This window comes from Homo sapiens, chromosome 20, assembly GCF_000001405.40.
Source record: "Homo sapiens chromosome 20, GRCh38.p14 Primary Assembly".
Classification (NCBI taxonomy): domain Eukaryota; kingdom Metazoa; phylum Chordata; class Mammalia; order Primates; family Hominidae; genus Homo; species Homo sapiens.
The window spans coordinates 46,083,329-46,097,897 of NC_000020.11; the positions used below are offsets into that span (position 1 = coordinate 46,083,329).

Consider the following 14,569-nt stretch of genomic DNA (forward strand, 5'->3'; position numbering starts at 1 on the left):
GCTTTACCCTTCACAAGAAAAGTAACTCTGAAATGACCAATCCGCTTTTTGCTCCTTGTCTCTGCTTTCCTCAGCTCCCTTCTCTGTTTATAAAGCCAAACGCCTCTGCTCAGCTCATTGGAACACTTGTTCTATTTTATAGAATGAGGTGTTGCCCTATTCTAGAGTTGCAAATAAAAGACAATTAAGATCTCTAAACTAAGTGTGCTGTAATTTTGTCTTTTGACAGCCACATGAACTACAACACTTAGTGACAGTACCACCACTAGCTGTTCAAAGAACCCAGAAGCCTATACTGTTTTAATAACTGACTACAAATGACATAAAACTCTCTAAAAGGCTTAGTTGAAAACCAACTAACAATCAAGAATTACTAAAGTGGCATTACATGCTGATAAAGATAATGCCAGTTGGAAAACCATACTGACAAGACAGAGAATATCACACATTAAATCCCCCAAATTGGGAGGGGAAATGACAGGACTTCTCGCTAAACTATATTTATGAAGACAACTTTGATGATATATTGCAACATCAGGGATATTGTAATGAGTTATATTGTAACAAGTCAGGGATAAGAGAATGTTATGCTTGCTCTTTCTAAATCAACCCTTTAAGTTCACTTTGAATACTATACTTTCCCTATATATTTGATTATCTCCTTTATTCTCCAACTAAAATAATTATTACATCTTTAACTGTATTAGAATATTATTCCTGGGAACAGAAATGGGGGAAACAATAGTTTATACTTACAGAATGCTTATTTTGTTCCTGAGCCTGTGTACTAAGAACATTATGTGTATTATTTCATTCAATCCTTTTACAACTCTTGGAATTAAATACTGCTATAATTTCTACTTTGCAAATGAGAAAATTTGAAGTTTAGAGAAATTAAGTGACAGGCCACACAATTATCAGGAGGCAGAGCTGAGACTCAGACCCAGGTCTTTCTTACACCAAAGTACTTAAACATTATGCTATGCTGCCTCCAACGGAGTGGAAAGACATGCTTTCCATTTAGAATATTCTTGCTAGGACTCCCTGATCAAATACTGATGGAACCTGGAAAAGGTCCAGTCTATGCTAGACACTCCATTGCTTAAATGACCCAGAGACACCCAACAGGGTAGAACCTACTTATTCAATGACGACTTCAGTTTCTATTACCTCAAACTACAGTGTTTCTGGGGTTTGCTATTAACATTCACCACAACTCTTCCGACAAAAATTATCAACATTTAATTTCCTACCTTTCTTATTCTTTTAAGGAAAGGGCATTTGGCTGGGGATAGCAAATCTGAGCTGTGGTCCTTACTTTGGGAAATTTACTCCAGTCATTTGATTTCTCTGAATCTATATTTCCTTTCTGACAAAATGGATATTCTGCCTGTGTTAGCTATGTTGACTCAAGGAGAAAAATCAGCTGAGAAAAAATGATTTTGGATTTGCAAAGGTTGAGCTAATCTAAACTACAAAAAAAGAGTCTGAGCTGCTTAAAATTTTAAAATACAGATTTAAAACTGGCAAATTTTCAACTAAACTGTACAAGTGGAGAACAAGTGATGAATTTGAAAAGGATAGCTTATAATTAATACATTGAATGCTTCATTGATTCATAATGTCAAATGCCTACTATGTGTCACACATGTCCCAGGCCTTACACATGTGGAAATGACACAGCTAAAGTCCTTGCCTTAAAGAAGTTCATTTTTAAAAAAGAAAGGGTCTCAGCTCTGTTGTCCAGGCTGGAGTGCAGTGGCTCGATCATAACTCACTGCAGTCTCAAACTCCTGAACTCAAGCGGTCTTCCTGCCTCAGCCTCCTGAGTAGCTGGGACAAGACGCATGCACCACCACACGCAGCTAATTTTTTTTTTTTTGAGATACTGTCTCCCTATGTTGCCCAGGCTGGTCTTGAACTTCTGGGCTCAAGTGATCCTCCCACCTCAGCCCCGCAAAGTGTTGGGATTATAGGCATGAGTCACCATGCCTGGCCTGGAGTTCACTGTTTATTTAATAAAGGAGAGGCACAAGTACACAGATAATTACAATACAATCTAAAGTGGGATTATGGCAGAGATAATGGAGTCCTAATTTTGTGTATGTGTGTGGCAGGTGAAAGGAACAGAGCAGAGAGGAGACTAGGAAGAATGTGTGTATGGAGGGGGTGGGGGTGAATGGGATGGGAGGAGGCAGGGAAGGCTTAAAAATAACATTTAAACTGGGTCCTGAGGAATGAGTGGGAGTTTACCAGAAAGAGAAAAGTCATCCCAGAACATACAAAGGTAAAGGAATGGTGTGAAGGACATAATAAATTAGAAAAACTACAGGAAGTTTGGTGTTGGGAACACGGGGATAGGAGGAATAAAAGAGAGAGGAATAACATGAAGCAAGAGTTGGACTAGATCCAGATTGCAAAACACTTTGCTATGGACAAGGAAGAATCTAGTGGCTAGAGGGTCTATTGGGGGCTATAAACTGAACTACCACAGAGTCTCAATGAAGCCAAATTAACGAAACTTTATGTATATTATCCCCAAATGCGGTGAGGGAGTATTTAAATGTAAGACATTCAAAATATTGCCCATTTTAGTAACATTCTTCAAAGACCATTGGTTTGACACTGAAGGAGAAAAAAATTGAAAAAGTCATGATTTTACTTTCAATAAAGGGCTCCCATGTAGCTAGGAATACAGGTGCATGCACCACCACCCTGGCTAATTTTTTTTGTAGAGACAGGATCTCACCATGTTGCCCAGGTTGGTCTCAAACTTCTATCAAAAGGGATCTTCCCACTTCAGCCTCCCCAAACGCTGGGATTACAGGTGTGAGCCACTGTACCCAGCCTTAAGATACTTTACAGAGCTAAAGGTATAAGACAAGACACTCTGTTTTCTAATGCAACTTAAGCTGCCCTGATCCTTGCCTAAAGTTGTCTGGTCTTTACATAGGATGTCTGGAAAAGTTCTGATTCTTATGAGGTGAACTATTTCCTTAACATAAAATTGGTCCAGATGACCTATTATCTCTTTTTTTAAGTGAAAGGATAAAGAATGAAGATGACCATTCCCATAAATATTCATATCTGGTGGTAACAAAACCACCATTTAAAAAGCAGCATGCATGCTGGTATTATATATTTAGCTGTCAATATACTTCATATTTCTCTAATGTACTGCTGCTTGAGACAGTGGCTTTACCCTGATCCTGTCATTAATGACTCTCATTAATGAGAGTAACATAAAGGATAATTCTGTTAGTCATTGCTCTTTTAACTTTTTGACAGTTTAACTCTGCTTAAGCAGAATGGTCTAAACAAATATATGTGCTATTCACAGGACAACTATTTTTGCACAAAAAAGCTGATATTGAGCTTTAAAAGCAGCTGTCTTAAAGATATGCAGTAATCATTAATAAACCACAAGGTACAGAGAGGAAATACAGCGTAGTAGAAAGAGTAGTCAGTTCTGAGGAACACTATTACTTCAAAATATTCATGAGAGGATAGCAGGAGAAAGGCATCATGATAACTTCCTCTCTCAGATATTGACATTGCACATATTTAGCACATAAATGCCTCTGAGAAGTTTTGGAGTAAGGACACCACTATATCTCAACATTTCCCAATTTTGCTTGACCCTGAAATCAATTATCTCCAATGATGTCTTGAATATGTTCTACTAATTATGTGATCTGGGGCAAGAAATCTAACCTCTTTGAGTCATCATTTCCCTATAAATAAAAAAGATCAAACTAGTTTATCAGTCTCATAAGATGACGGGCAGGAGCAATGATTTAGTATTTACCATATGCACTACTGGCTGTATGTTATTATCATTACTACACTAAGAGTAACAGTGACTTCAGGAATAGACGTTTCATTCTTCACGTGGGGAGTCAAAAACAAGAGAACAACCTAAACTGAAGGGAAGAAAAAGTTTAATATATTTCTTGTGAAGATTTTCCATTCTTAAAAGCACAACTAAATTTTATTAATCCTCACAGTAGTAAAACATTACACAAAGGCACTGCCATCTGCAGGTCATAAACATGGACTGCTTGCAATGATTATTTAAAATGAAGTTTCAAACCAATAAATCTTTTCTCATCAGACTACGAAAGTCTTTCCAAAAATTGTTTATTCTGGTTGGACGCGGTGGCTCATGCCTGTAATCCCAGCACTTTCGGAGGCAGAGGCGGGCAGATCACCTGAGGTTGGGAGTTCGAGACTAGCCTGACCAACATGGAGAAACCCCGTCTCCACTAAAAATATACAAAATTAGCCGGGCGTGGTGGCGCACGCCTGTAATCCCAGCTACTTAGGAGACTGAGGCAGGAGAATTGCTTGAACCCGGGGGCCAAGATCGCACCACTGCACTCCAGCCTGGGCAACAAGAGTGAAGCTCTGTCTCAGAAAAAACAAAAACAAAACCAAAACAAACAAGTTGTTTTTTCTTAGCTCTCAAGCACTGGTAGATGAGTTTCCATTTGCTGAAGTTCTGAAACGGACGCCGGGCTTAAATCAAATTCTCAGAAATGTGAAGAAAATGACCTTAGCCTTACGTAAATTCTACATTGTGATCATACCAAGGTAACCCCAAAGAAACATGTTTTTAACAGGGGGAGAGATACATACACACACACACATATATATACATATACATATATATATATTTTTTTACACAGCCTTTGAGGGGAGGGGAAGAAAACTTGAATAAGCCTGAACTGACTTATGGGACTTTCCTGTCAATGATTTAAATTAAATCTGCTCTTACATTCACATAAACAGATCTTATGAACACACTATTAACTTACAAGTAAGTTAATCTGTCAATGCCTCCTTTAAACTTGTGGTGTTCACAGGTATGCAACATTGAGCAAACTGAATCTAGAAAAACTCCTTCCAATGAGCCTTGCAATATGGATTCGCTGGGACATTCTACAAGGAAAATCAGTGTTTCTAAGTTTTAGGTTAAGAGAAGTGTCAGAGGTTTCAAAGGCAATCTGAAGAGTGACAGATGAGCTCAAAGAAAGGCAAAGAAATCACAATAAAGGAAGAAATGGATGTTAACAAATAGCCAAGTGATTTCTAATATCCACAATGCAAAGCATGGGCTTTACTGGTTGCAAAAAGTAGACACAAAGTTAGTTTTCACACCCAGACTGACTCATAGAGAAAACATTAAATTAAGAGTTGTCAAAACTCACAAAAGCTTCCCCAGCATTTGTAGAAACATCTTTTTATGAGCCAACAGGGGGCTACGACATCACAACGCTGTAAGAAAATTCAGGCACACCGGGTGCACCTGAGTGAACACAGTTCTTGCAGTTCCCTGGGACTAACACTTTTAAGTCAACAAAGAGAACAGTTTACAAGAAAGCTGTTACATTATCCCTGAAGAGCCCAGGGCATTCATAGAATCTGCTTTGCCTCAGGAAAAATTCTGTGCACAGAGTGCAAGCCAGAAGAACCACAATTAATCAGCTACTCCTCGGGCAGCGTTTCCCAAAGTGTGGAACGCAGAATAATTTCAGGAGGAACAAGGACGCACTGTTTATTTCAACAGACAGATATTTATTTTTTTTATAAGCATTAGAAAAATAACTGGCTTTCCAGTACCCGGTTTGTGATTGAAGTTGCCGCCTTAAATATATTTAAGGAGAAAAAAAGAGTCAGTTTGAATTTTTTAAAAAATGTAACATTTGGTAAATAGCAGTACAGATGGTCCACGGACATAAAGGTGCAACGCGAGACTGAAACGTGTGCAACGCCGTCCTAAGAGAAGCCCCTCGCCCGCTGGCGGGGAGCGGACAGTGCCCCGCGCCGGGAGCTTGGAAAGCCGGCCGGATCGGACGCTGGCGCTGAGCTACGTGGTAAACCCGGGAACAGTTCCTCTCCCCGTTCTCTGGGCCCGAGGTCCGCGCCTACAAAACGCGTGGGGTGTCACACCACAAGGAGACACCCCGAGAATGCGGTCAGGGGCCGCGAGACGGTGGCGGGGGACAGCGCTCAGTACACCGCTCGGCGCTGCACGCCTGGAGAACGCCCGGTGCCACGGGACGCCTTGGGCCCGGTTCGAATCCCGACTGCGCCACTGACTCGCTGAGGACCCGCGGGCGAGCGACTCCACCGTTTCGACAGGGGGTGCGGGATGTGCGGCTCAACCAGAGAAGCCTTGAGGACTCCTAGTGACCGACCGTTCGTGCACAGACAGGCGGCTGCGATGCGACGCCGCCGACCTGCGTCCACCACAGAGAACCGTAGGCCGCCTCGGCCGGCCGGGCCTGGGCCTGACGGGAGCCGGAGGCGGCCGCGCCCCGCACCGGGCATGCGCAGCACCGCGCGCACCCGGAGAGGAGCCGAGACCGTGGCCGCGCGTCGAGTGGGCCTTCCCGCCTCAGCCTCCCCGTCCGGCCAGGCCCCCCACAACGGCCTGCCCGTCAGCCCCACGCCTCGGCTGACGGCCAGCGCTTCCCGGCACTCACCGCTACCAGCGCGGCGGGCTCCCGGCCGCTCCTTCGCCTCAGGCCCGCCGCTGCCGCCTCCGCGTCGGCCCACCTGCCCGCCGTAGGACAAAGGCGCCACCAACCGACCGGCGCGGGCACGAGGCAATGGCGGCCGGGCGGAGAGTGGAGATGGGGGCAGAGGGCGCGCACGTAGCGGCAGGCGCGGCACTGTCGCAAGACCGCGCGTGTTTACGGCAGGGCTGAGTTGGGGCGTCGATCTCCTTGGCAATGAGGGCCCGGGAAGTGGCTCTCGGGCGGGAGTTGAGAACGCAGGGAGTTGCCTAGCAACAGCGTCCTAGGCTGAGGATGGGCCCCACGGTGGTCGCCTCAGCCCCCGCCCCAGAGTACTTTTTTTCTGTTTTCAGAGCACATTCCCTCCTCCCTAACTGTGGGAACAGAACATTCAAATCCCCAAATACCTTGATTTAGTCTTGCATAAAACTGAAAGCAAAAACCCCAAATCCCTATACACGTGTGTATTGGAGAATATATATAGTCCTGTAACCTCCGGACCACAAGGAACAAAGAGAGCAGAAAGGTGGAGAAAATGTTGTATTTAAATTTACATTTAAATAGGCTCTGTACTCTATTAGTTTCACTGACAAGCGGCAAAAGGTTTCTGGAGATATAGTCACAGGTTCTTCTTGAGTTATTTATTCTTGGAATATTCGTTCAACGTCAAAAATTTCCCGGAATGTAACTGTTGACCGTGAAGCCTGTAAAATGTTGTACTGTTCATTTCATGTATAGAATACATTTGTCACAGGGAATGGGATTTGCTCACACAATAGTAAATGCACTCTATTAATCACAGCCATAGCTATATTAATCAGGTACTCTTTTATTAGTGTTGGAAACGCCTCAGACTCCATGGGGTCTAGTTCTTCTCCTTGCGAATATTGCCTACTAAGAAAAAATGGTGCCTGCGGAATTTAAACACTACAAGAAGCCAGATTTCTTTGACATCTACCCCTATGCTCACTCCACTCATTTATTCACTGAATGTTTATTACATACCTACTATGTAGCCCTATACTTATTATATGCCTGCTTGTTAGGCGCTGTTATGAGCAAATGCAGACCCTTTTCTGCTATCTTTGAGATTACAGTCTGGTGAAAGCATTAGACGAATAATCACACTTGAGTGTGTAATTGCAAACTGAGATAAACGCTGTGATGGAAAGAAATAGGGATTCTCAATGGTTGTAACTAGAACTTTAGTTTACTCACAGGCAAAGTGGGTTATTCCAATTCCCACTTTATAAGACTGTATGAAATTAGAAATGAAGACATAAAGTCTGTCAAATAATGGATACCCAACAAATGTTCATTCTTATTCCTTTCCCTCCAATATAGATCCTAATACTATGAAAATTTAAGAAGAATCATATTAATTAGATGATTAAGATAACCAAGCTTAGGGAAAAATGTTGGTTTAGAGGTGAGTGGCAGTACCTCAAGTGGGTAGTGGACTTTAGCCAAAAGATGTATTCAGTGACTTGTGTATTAAGTGTTTAATGAGTGTTTTTTATGCACTTGATTTTGTGGAGAGTAGAGAGTAAGGTAGACAAAATCCTTGTGCTTAGGGAGCTCATGGCCTATTAGGGAATATGAGCAATAAACAAACGATAATATATAGTGTTTGATGAGTATTTTTGATAGAGGAGCAAGTTAATTTTATGAAGAAAGATTCTTGTAGGGAGGCAGGTGCTCAGGACTTGGTGACTTCTTATTTAGATGTTTGCTTTACATAATAGGTAACATCTATTGTGTGCCTACCATGTGCTGAATCCTTTACACATATCATCTCATTTAATCCTCACAACCCTATTGAGAGGTGACAGCGTGCTGGCAGCCCTCACAGCCCTTGCTCACTCTCGGTGCCTCCTCGGCCTCGGCGCCCATTCTGGCCGCGCTTGAAGAGCCCTTCAGCCCGCCGCTGCACCATGGAAGTCCTTCTCTGGGCTGGCCGAGGCCGGAGCCGGCTCCCTCCGCTTTCGGGGAGGTGTGGAGGGAGAGGCACGGGCGGGAACCGGGGCTGCGCGCGGCGCTTGCGGGCCAGCTAGAGTTCCAGGTGGGCGTGGGCCTGGCGGGCCCCACACTCGGAGCGGCCGGCCCGCCCTGCTGGCCCCAGGCGTGAGAGACTTAGCACCCAGGCCAGCAGCTGTGGAGGGTGCGCCGGATCCCCCAGCAGTGCTGGCCCACCGGCGCTGCACTCGATTTCTCACCGGGCCTTAGCTGCCTCCCCGTGGGGCAGGGCTCGGGACCTGCAGCCAGCCATGCCCGAGTCTCTCCGCCCCACCAACCCTCCTCCCTCGGGCTCCTGCGCGGCCTGAGCCTTCCTGACGAGCGCAGCCCCCTGCTCCAAGGTGCCTGGTCCCATCGACCGCCCAAGGGCTGAGGAGTGCCGGTGCACGGTGCGGGACTGGCGGGCAGCTCCACCTGCGGCCCAGTGGAAGATCCACTGAGTGAGGCCAGCTGGGCTCCTGAGTCTAGTGGGGACTTGGAGAACCTTCGTGTCTAGCTAAGGGATTGTGGGTGCACCAATCAGCACTCTGTGTCTAGCTCAAGGTTTGTGAACACACCAATCAGCACCCTGTGTCTAGCTCAGGGTTTGTGGATGCACCAATCCACACTCTGTATCTAGTGGGGACTTGGAGAATCTTTATGTCTAGCTAAGGGATTGTGAATGCACCAATTGGCACTCTGTATCTAGCTCAAGGTTTGTAAATGCACCAATCAGCACTCTGTCTAGCTCAGGGTTTGTAAATACACCAATGGACACTCTGTATCCAGCTAATCTAGTGGGGACGTGGAGAACTTTTGTGTCCAGCTCAGGGATTGTAAACGCCCCAATCAGCACCCTGTCAAAACGGACCAATCAGCTGTCTGTAAAACAGACCAATCGGCTCTCTGTAAAATGGACCAATCAGCAGGATGTGGGTGGGGCCAGATAAGCGAATAAAAGCAGGCTGCCTGAACCAGCAGTGGCATCCCGCTCGGGTTGCCTTCCACACTGTGGGAGTTGTGTTGTTCTGCTCTTTGCTATCAATCTTGCTACTGCTTTTTGGGTCCACACTGCTTTTATGAGCTGCAACACTCACTGGGAAGGTCTGCAGGTTCACTCCTGAAGTCATTGAAACCACGAACCCACTGGGAGAAACAAATAACTCCAGACGTGCCACCTTAAGAGCTGTAACACTCACCTGGAAGGCCTGTAGCTTCACTCCTGAGCCAGCGAGCCCACGAACCCCCCAGAAGGAAAAAACTCCGAACACATGCGAACATCAGAAGGAACAAACTCCGGACACGACGTCTTTAAGAACTGTAACACTCACCATGAGGGTCTGCGGCTTCATTCTTGAAGTCAGTGAGACCAAGAACCCACCAATTCTGGACACACTGTAATATGTGTACTATATTCCTATTTTACAAATGAGACAATTGAGGCCAGTTAATTTGCTTGTCCCACAGAGATTATGTGGCATGGCCAGACTCACTGAACCTGTGCGGCCTGATGCCCAAAATGCTATTGTAACCACGAGTGATACTGTCTTCTGGGATAAGAGGTTCCCTTCCAAATCAGGGGGTACCTGATTGGTGTAAAAGCCTGTAACCCTTCAGAGGTGAGCACCAAAGTTTGACCAGGAGATAAATTGAAAATCTGCTACAGTGGAGGCCATCTGATTTCTGTCAGATAGATCTTTAAGCTCACTGGCTGTTAAAATTTGGTGTACAGTGGGTTACCCCTTACTGTAAGGGAAGAAAGGTATAGTTTAAAGTGTGGCCAGTACTAAAGAACGATGTGTGTTTCCTAGAACATATGAGTAGGCCTTGTGGTTTACAGGACAGCCAAGACAGGGCAATGAGCAATTCCACTCAAACAGCAAACTGGAGGGGGCAGCATTTGGTGCTCAGCAAATACCTGTTGAATGAAGAAAAAAAAAGAAGAAAGAGTAAATTCAATACCATAGTCAATAGTGGAGGAATTTTTTTGAGATATCAATTTGGTTTTATTTTAATCTGGTATTTTTCTTAGTATTTCAGACTGCTTTATAGGATGAAGCCAGATACGTTTTGGGTAATGAAGTGGTGATTAAAAAGTGTCTAAGCAATGGGCTCAGGAATATCCCAGGAGAGAGAACCAGAGGGTCTATGATAAAGAAAACATGTAGTTTTTTTTTTTTTTTTTTTTAAGGACAAGATTACTGCAGAGAATCAGAAAGTAGGATCAGAAGGCAATCTTGAGTAAAACCCTTCCATTTTGACAAATGCAGGGCATAATATAGCCTCAAAATTTTGATTTTTAAAAATTAATTTTTTTAGAGACAGTCTCACTCTGTCAAGGCGATCAAGCCTTGACCTTCTGGGCTTAAGTGATCCTCCCACCTCTGCCTCCTGAGTAGCTGGGACTACAGGCATGTGCTACCATGCCGGGCTTTTTTGGGTAATTTTTGTAGAGACAGGGTTTCACCATGTTGCCCAGGCTGGTCTCAAACTCCTGGGCTCAAGTCATCCTCCCTCTCGGCCTCCCAAAGTGTTGGGATTACAGGTGTGAGCCACTGCACCCTGCTGAATCTCACTTTTGTATTGGTGATGAGCGGCTGGCCTAAAGACCTATTCTATTTTTTTTTTTTTTTTTTGAGACCGAGTCTCGCTCTATGGCCCAGGCTGGAGTGCAGTGGCACAATCTGTGCTCACTGCAACCTCCACGTTTCAAGCAATTCTCCTGCCTCAGCCTCCCGAGTAGCTGGGAGTACAGGCGCCCGCCCCACGCCCTGCTAATTTTTGTAGTTTTAGTAGAGACAGGGTTTCACCATATTGGCCAGGCTGGTCTGGAACTCCTGACCATGTGATCCACCCGCCTTGGCCTCCCAGAGCGCTGGGATTACAGGCGTAAGCCACCGCGCCCGGCCCATGAAGACCTATTCTAAACGCCAACAGCACTCAGATGCAGCCTGAGTTTGCAAAAACACTTTCAGGAATACTTTGCATATCATCTGACACAACCCAGGAGAGGAGAAACCTAGTACTTAAGAGCGGCAGCTTTGGTGATAGAAGTCAGAATAGAGGTTAACTCTGGGGGCATAGACTGGGGAGGAGCTTGAAGGAACTTTCAGGAAGATGGAAATGTTCTATATCTTGATCCCATAGTGGTTACATGGAATATGTACACAGGTAAACGTCTATAGAGTCATGGGTTTAAAATTGTGCATTTTACTATATGTAAAGTATACATCAATAAAAATTTAATTAAAAGAACAAAATGAAGATTTTGAAATCAAAATGATTTGGGTTCAAATCATGGCTCTGTCCCTTAATTTAGCTATGTGAGTTTGGGTCTTCTTTCATACATTTGATATGTATTGAGTACCTCCTAGGTTTACCATGCTAGACACAAAGGACACAGCAGTGAACAAGAAAGAGATGGTCCGTGCTTTCACAGAGCTTCAACCAAGCCACAGGTACCTGTCTTGACAATAGGGATAATAAGACCTTCCTCATGAGGTCATTGTAAGGATTAACTGAAATCATGCATGTAAAGTTCCTGGAATATAGTTGATGCTCAAAAACAAACAAATAAACCCAAACATTTTATACAGTGTGAGGAACCTGATACTTAGGTTAAGTGACTTATCTAAAGCCATACATTTACTAAGAAGTCAAGTCGAAACCAGAACTTAGAACCCAAGTCTTAATTCAAAGTCCTATAATTTTTCAATTACAACCACATTTTCCTGTTATATCTTTCATTTGTGTGAAAGGAAAGCACTTTACATCTTGTGTACTATAGCTAATGTTTACAAAGATCCCTGAATGACACTGAGATAGAGTTGTCAGATTTAATAAATACGAGTAAAATAAACTAAACATTTTGGGCCTGCTATGGTGCCTCATTCATTTAATTCTAGCACTTTGGGAGGCCAAGGCAGGAGAACTGGTTAAGGCCAGGAGTTTGAGGCCAGCCTGAGCAAGATAGAGGGACCCCTGGCCTACAAAACATGAAAAAACTAGCTGGGTATGGTGGTATGCACCTGTAGTCCCAGCTACTCAGGAGGCTGAGATGGGAGGATTGCTTGAGCCTGGGAGGTTGGGGCTGCAGTGAGCCATGATCGCGCAACTGCACTGCAGCCTGAGTGACAGAGTGAGAACCTGTCTCAAAAGAAAGAAATAAACAAAAATTACGCTTTTTAAAAAGTATGCCCCATGCAATATTTTGGACATATTTATACTAAAAAATTAGTCATTGTTTTTCTAAAATTAAAATGTAACTGGATGTCCTATATTTTATCTGGCAACTCTACACTGAAAGAATCATTGAATTTTAAATAGATGGTTCTTCATTAGAAGTGATCTTAGTTTCTAAAAGATTCACATAAAGAAAAAGACTGAAAAACATTTAGAGGTTGAGGTGCTTGTTTCTTTTCTTTTTTTTGTTTTTTAGTCAGGGTCTCCATCTGTCACCCAGGCTGGAATGCAATGACATGATCAGGGCTCACTGCAGCCTCAACCTCCTGGGCGCAGGCGATCCTCCCATCTCAGCCTCTCAAGTAGCTGGGACCACAGGCACACACCACTAGTCCTGGCTAATTTTTGCATTTTTTGTAGAGACGCAGTTTCATCATGTTGCCTAGGCTGGTCTCACACTCCTGGGCTCAAGTAAGCCTGCCTCCTTGGCCTCCCAACATGTTGGGATTATAGGTGTGAGCCACTGCACCTGGCCTGGTATCTCTTAATTTAATTTTTTAATTATTATTTTTCTGGTTACATATACAGGGACAGAGATTCTGTGATCCAACTTCATCTTGCCATCTTTACCCAGAACTTTCACATTACCTCATTTACTCTACACAGCAACCCTGTGTGATGAATGCTAAATGATTTAAACTTTAAACGTTCCTTAACATTTCAAACATACATAAAATACATACCTTTCTACTCACCACTGTGATTAAACAAATGTAAATGCTTTTGCTAACTTGCTTTAGAAATGAAGTGATATAAAAACAGCTGGCTGGGCGCGGTGGCTCACACCTGTAATCCCAGCAGTTTGGGAGGTCAAAGCAGGTAGATCACCTGAGGTCAGGAGTTCGAGACCAGCCTGGCCAAAATGATGAAACCCTGTCTCTACTAAAAATACAAAAATTAGCTGGGCATGGTGGCACCTGCCTGTAATCCCAGCTACTCGGGAGGCTGAGGCAGGATAATTGCTTGAACCTGGGAGGTGGAGGTTGCAGTGAGCCAAGATTGTGCCATTGTGCTCCAGCCTGGGCAACAATAGCGAAACTCTGTCTCAAACAAACAAACAACAACAACAAAAACAGCTAAGATCCTTCTATCACCCTCATCTCTCTCCAGGTAATCACTCCCCTGAAATACATTCCCATGTATATTTCGTACTTTAATTTTATTTTATTTTTAACAGACAGAGTCTCACTCTGTTGCTCAGGTAGGAGTTCAGTGGTGCTATTGCTCACTGCAGCCTCAAACTCCCGGGCTCAAGCAATCCTCCTGCTGCAGCTGCCCAAGTAGCTAGGACTACAGGTACCACCACCATGCCTGGCTAATTTTAAAAACTGTTTTTTTGTAGAGACAGGGTCTTGCTATGTTGCCCAGGCTGGCCTCAAACTCCTGGTCACAAGGGATCCTCTCACCTTGACTTCCCAAAGCACTGGAATTACAGGCATGAGCCCAGTCATAGAGTGCCCAGCCTATATTTTTTACTTTTATCATAAAAGATATATCCATAAACTGTATAGCGTTGTTTAATAGTGTTTAGATACAGTTTATGTATCCTTTTATGACTTTTTAAAACTGTACTAGGTTTTTAAGATTTAAGTGTGTTGAAACATGTAACTAGTTTACTGGTTCTTAAAGTGTAGTCCCTGGACTAGCAGCATCAGCAACATCTGAGAATTTGTTAGAAATGCAAATTTCCACTGAATAACTCAGAAACCCTAGGGGTAGGACCCAGTCATCTGTCCTTTACCAAGTCCTTCTGATGATTTCGATATACCCTGAAGTTTGAGAACTACTGATCTAATTTATTTGTTTTCTAG

The 14,569-nt window shown here is 43.9% G+C and overlaps 1 protein-coding gene across 5 annotated transcripts in view, besides 6 other annotated features; it reads right to left on the bottom strand.

Annotated features, from left to right (window-relative positions):
* The window catches only part of NCOA5 (nuclear receptor coactivator 5), a 28,972-nt gene extending 22,338 nt beyond the window's left edge, over positions 1-6,634 (bottom strand). For all 5 annotated transcript variants that reach the window (NM_001348148.2, NM_001348151.2, NM_001348150.2 and 2 more), the window contains exon 1: positions 6,489-6,634. The gene's annotated coding sequence lies outside the window, so the exon portion shown is untranslated. The remainder of the gene's footprint in view (positions 1-6,488) is intronic.
* Positions 5,106-5,920: an enhancer, noted in NCBI's record as "NANOG-H3K27ac hESC enhancer chr20:44717073-44717887 (GRCh37/hg19 assembly coordinates)". NCBI's record gives its function as "activates a minimal SCP1, AML or CMV promoter by ChIP-STARR-seq in naive H9 embryonic stem cells {active_cell/tissue: H9 hESC(naive)}" and the evidence as "EXISTENCE:reporter gene assay evidence [ECO:0000049][PMID:30033119]".
* Positions 5,858-6,067: an enhancer, noted in NCBI's record as "active region_17958". NCBI's record gives its function as "activates an Ori minimal core promoter by ATAC-STARR-seq in GM12878 lymphoblastoid cells {active_cell/tissue: GM12878}" and the evidence as "EXISTENCE:reporter gene assay evidence [ECO:0000049][PMID:35858748]".
* Positions 5,858-6,734: a biological region, named in NCBI's record as "H3K27ac hESC enhancer GRCh37_chr20:44717888-44718701".
* Positions 5,921-6,734: an enhancer, noted in NCBI's record as "H3K27ac hESC enhancer chr20:44717888-44718701 (GRCh37/hg19 assembly coordinates)". NCBI's record gives its function as "activates a minimal SCP1, AML or CMV promoter by ChIP-STARR-seq in primed H9 embryonic stem cells {active_cell/tissue: H9 hESC(primed)}" and the evidence as "EXISTENCE:reporter gene assay evidence [ECO:0000049][PMID:30033119]".
* Positions 6,238-6,587: a silencer, noted in NCBI's record as "silent region_12972". NCBI's record gives its function as "represses an Ori minimal core promoter by ATAC-STARR-seq in GM12878 lymphoblastoid cells {active_cell/tissue: GM12878}" and the evidence as "EXISTENCE:reporter gene assay evidence [ECO:0000049][PMID:35858748]".
* Positions 6,748-6,797: an enhancer, noted in NCBI's record as "active region_17959". NCBI's record gives its function as "activates an Ori minimal core promoter by ATAC-STARR-seq in GM12878 lymphoblastoid cells {active_cell/tissue: GM12878}" and the evidence as "EXISTENCE:reporter gene assay evidence [ECO:0000049][PMID:35858748]".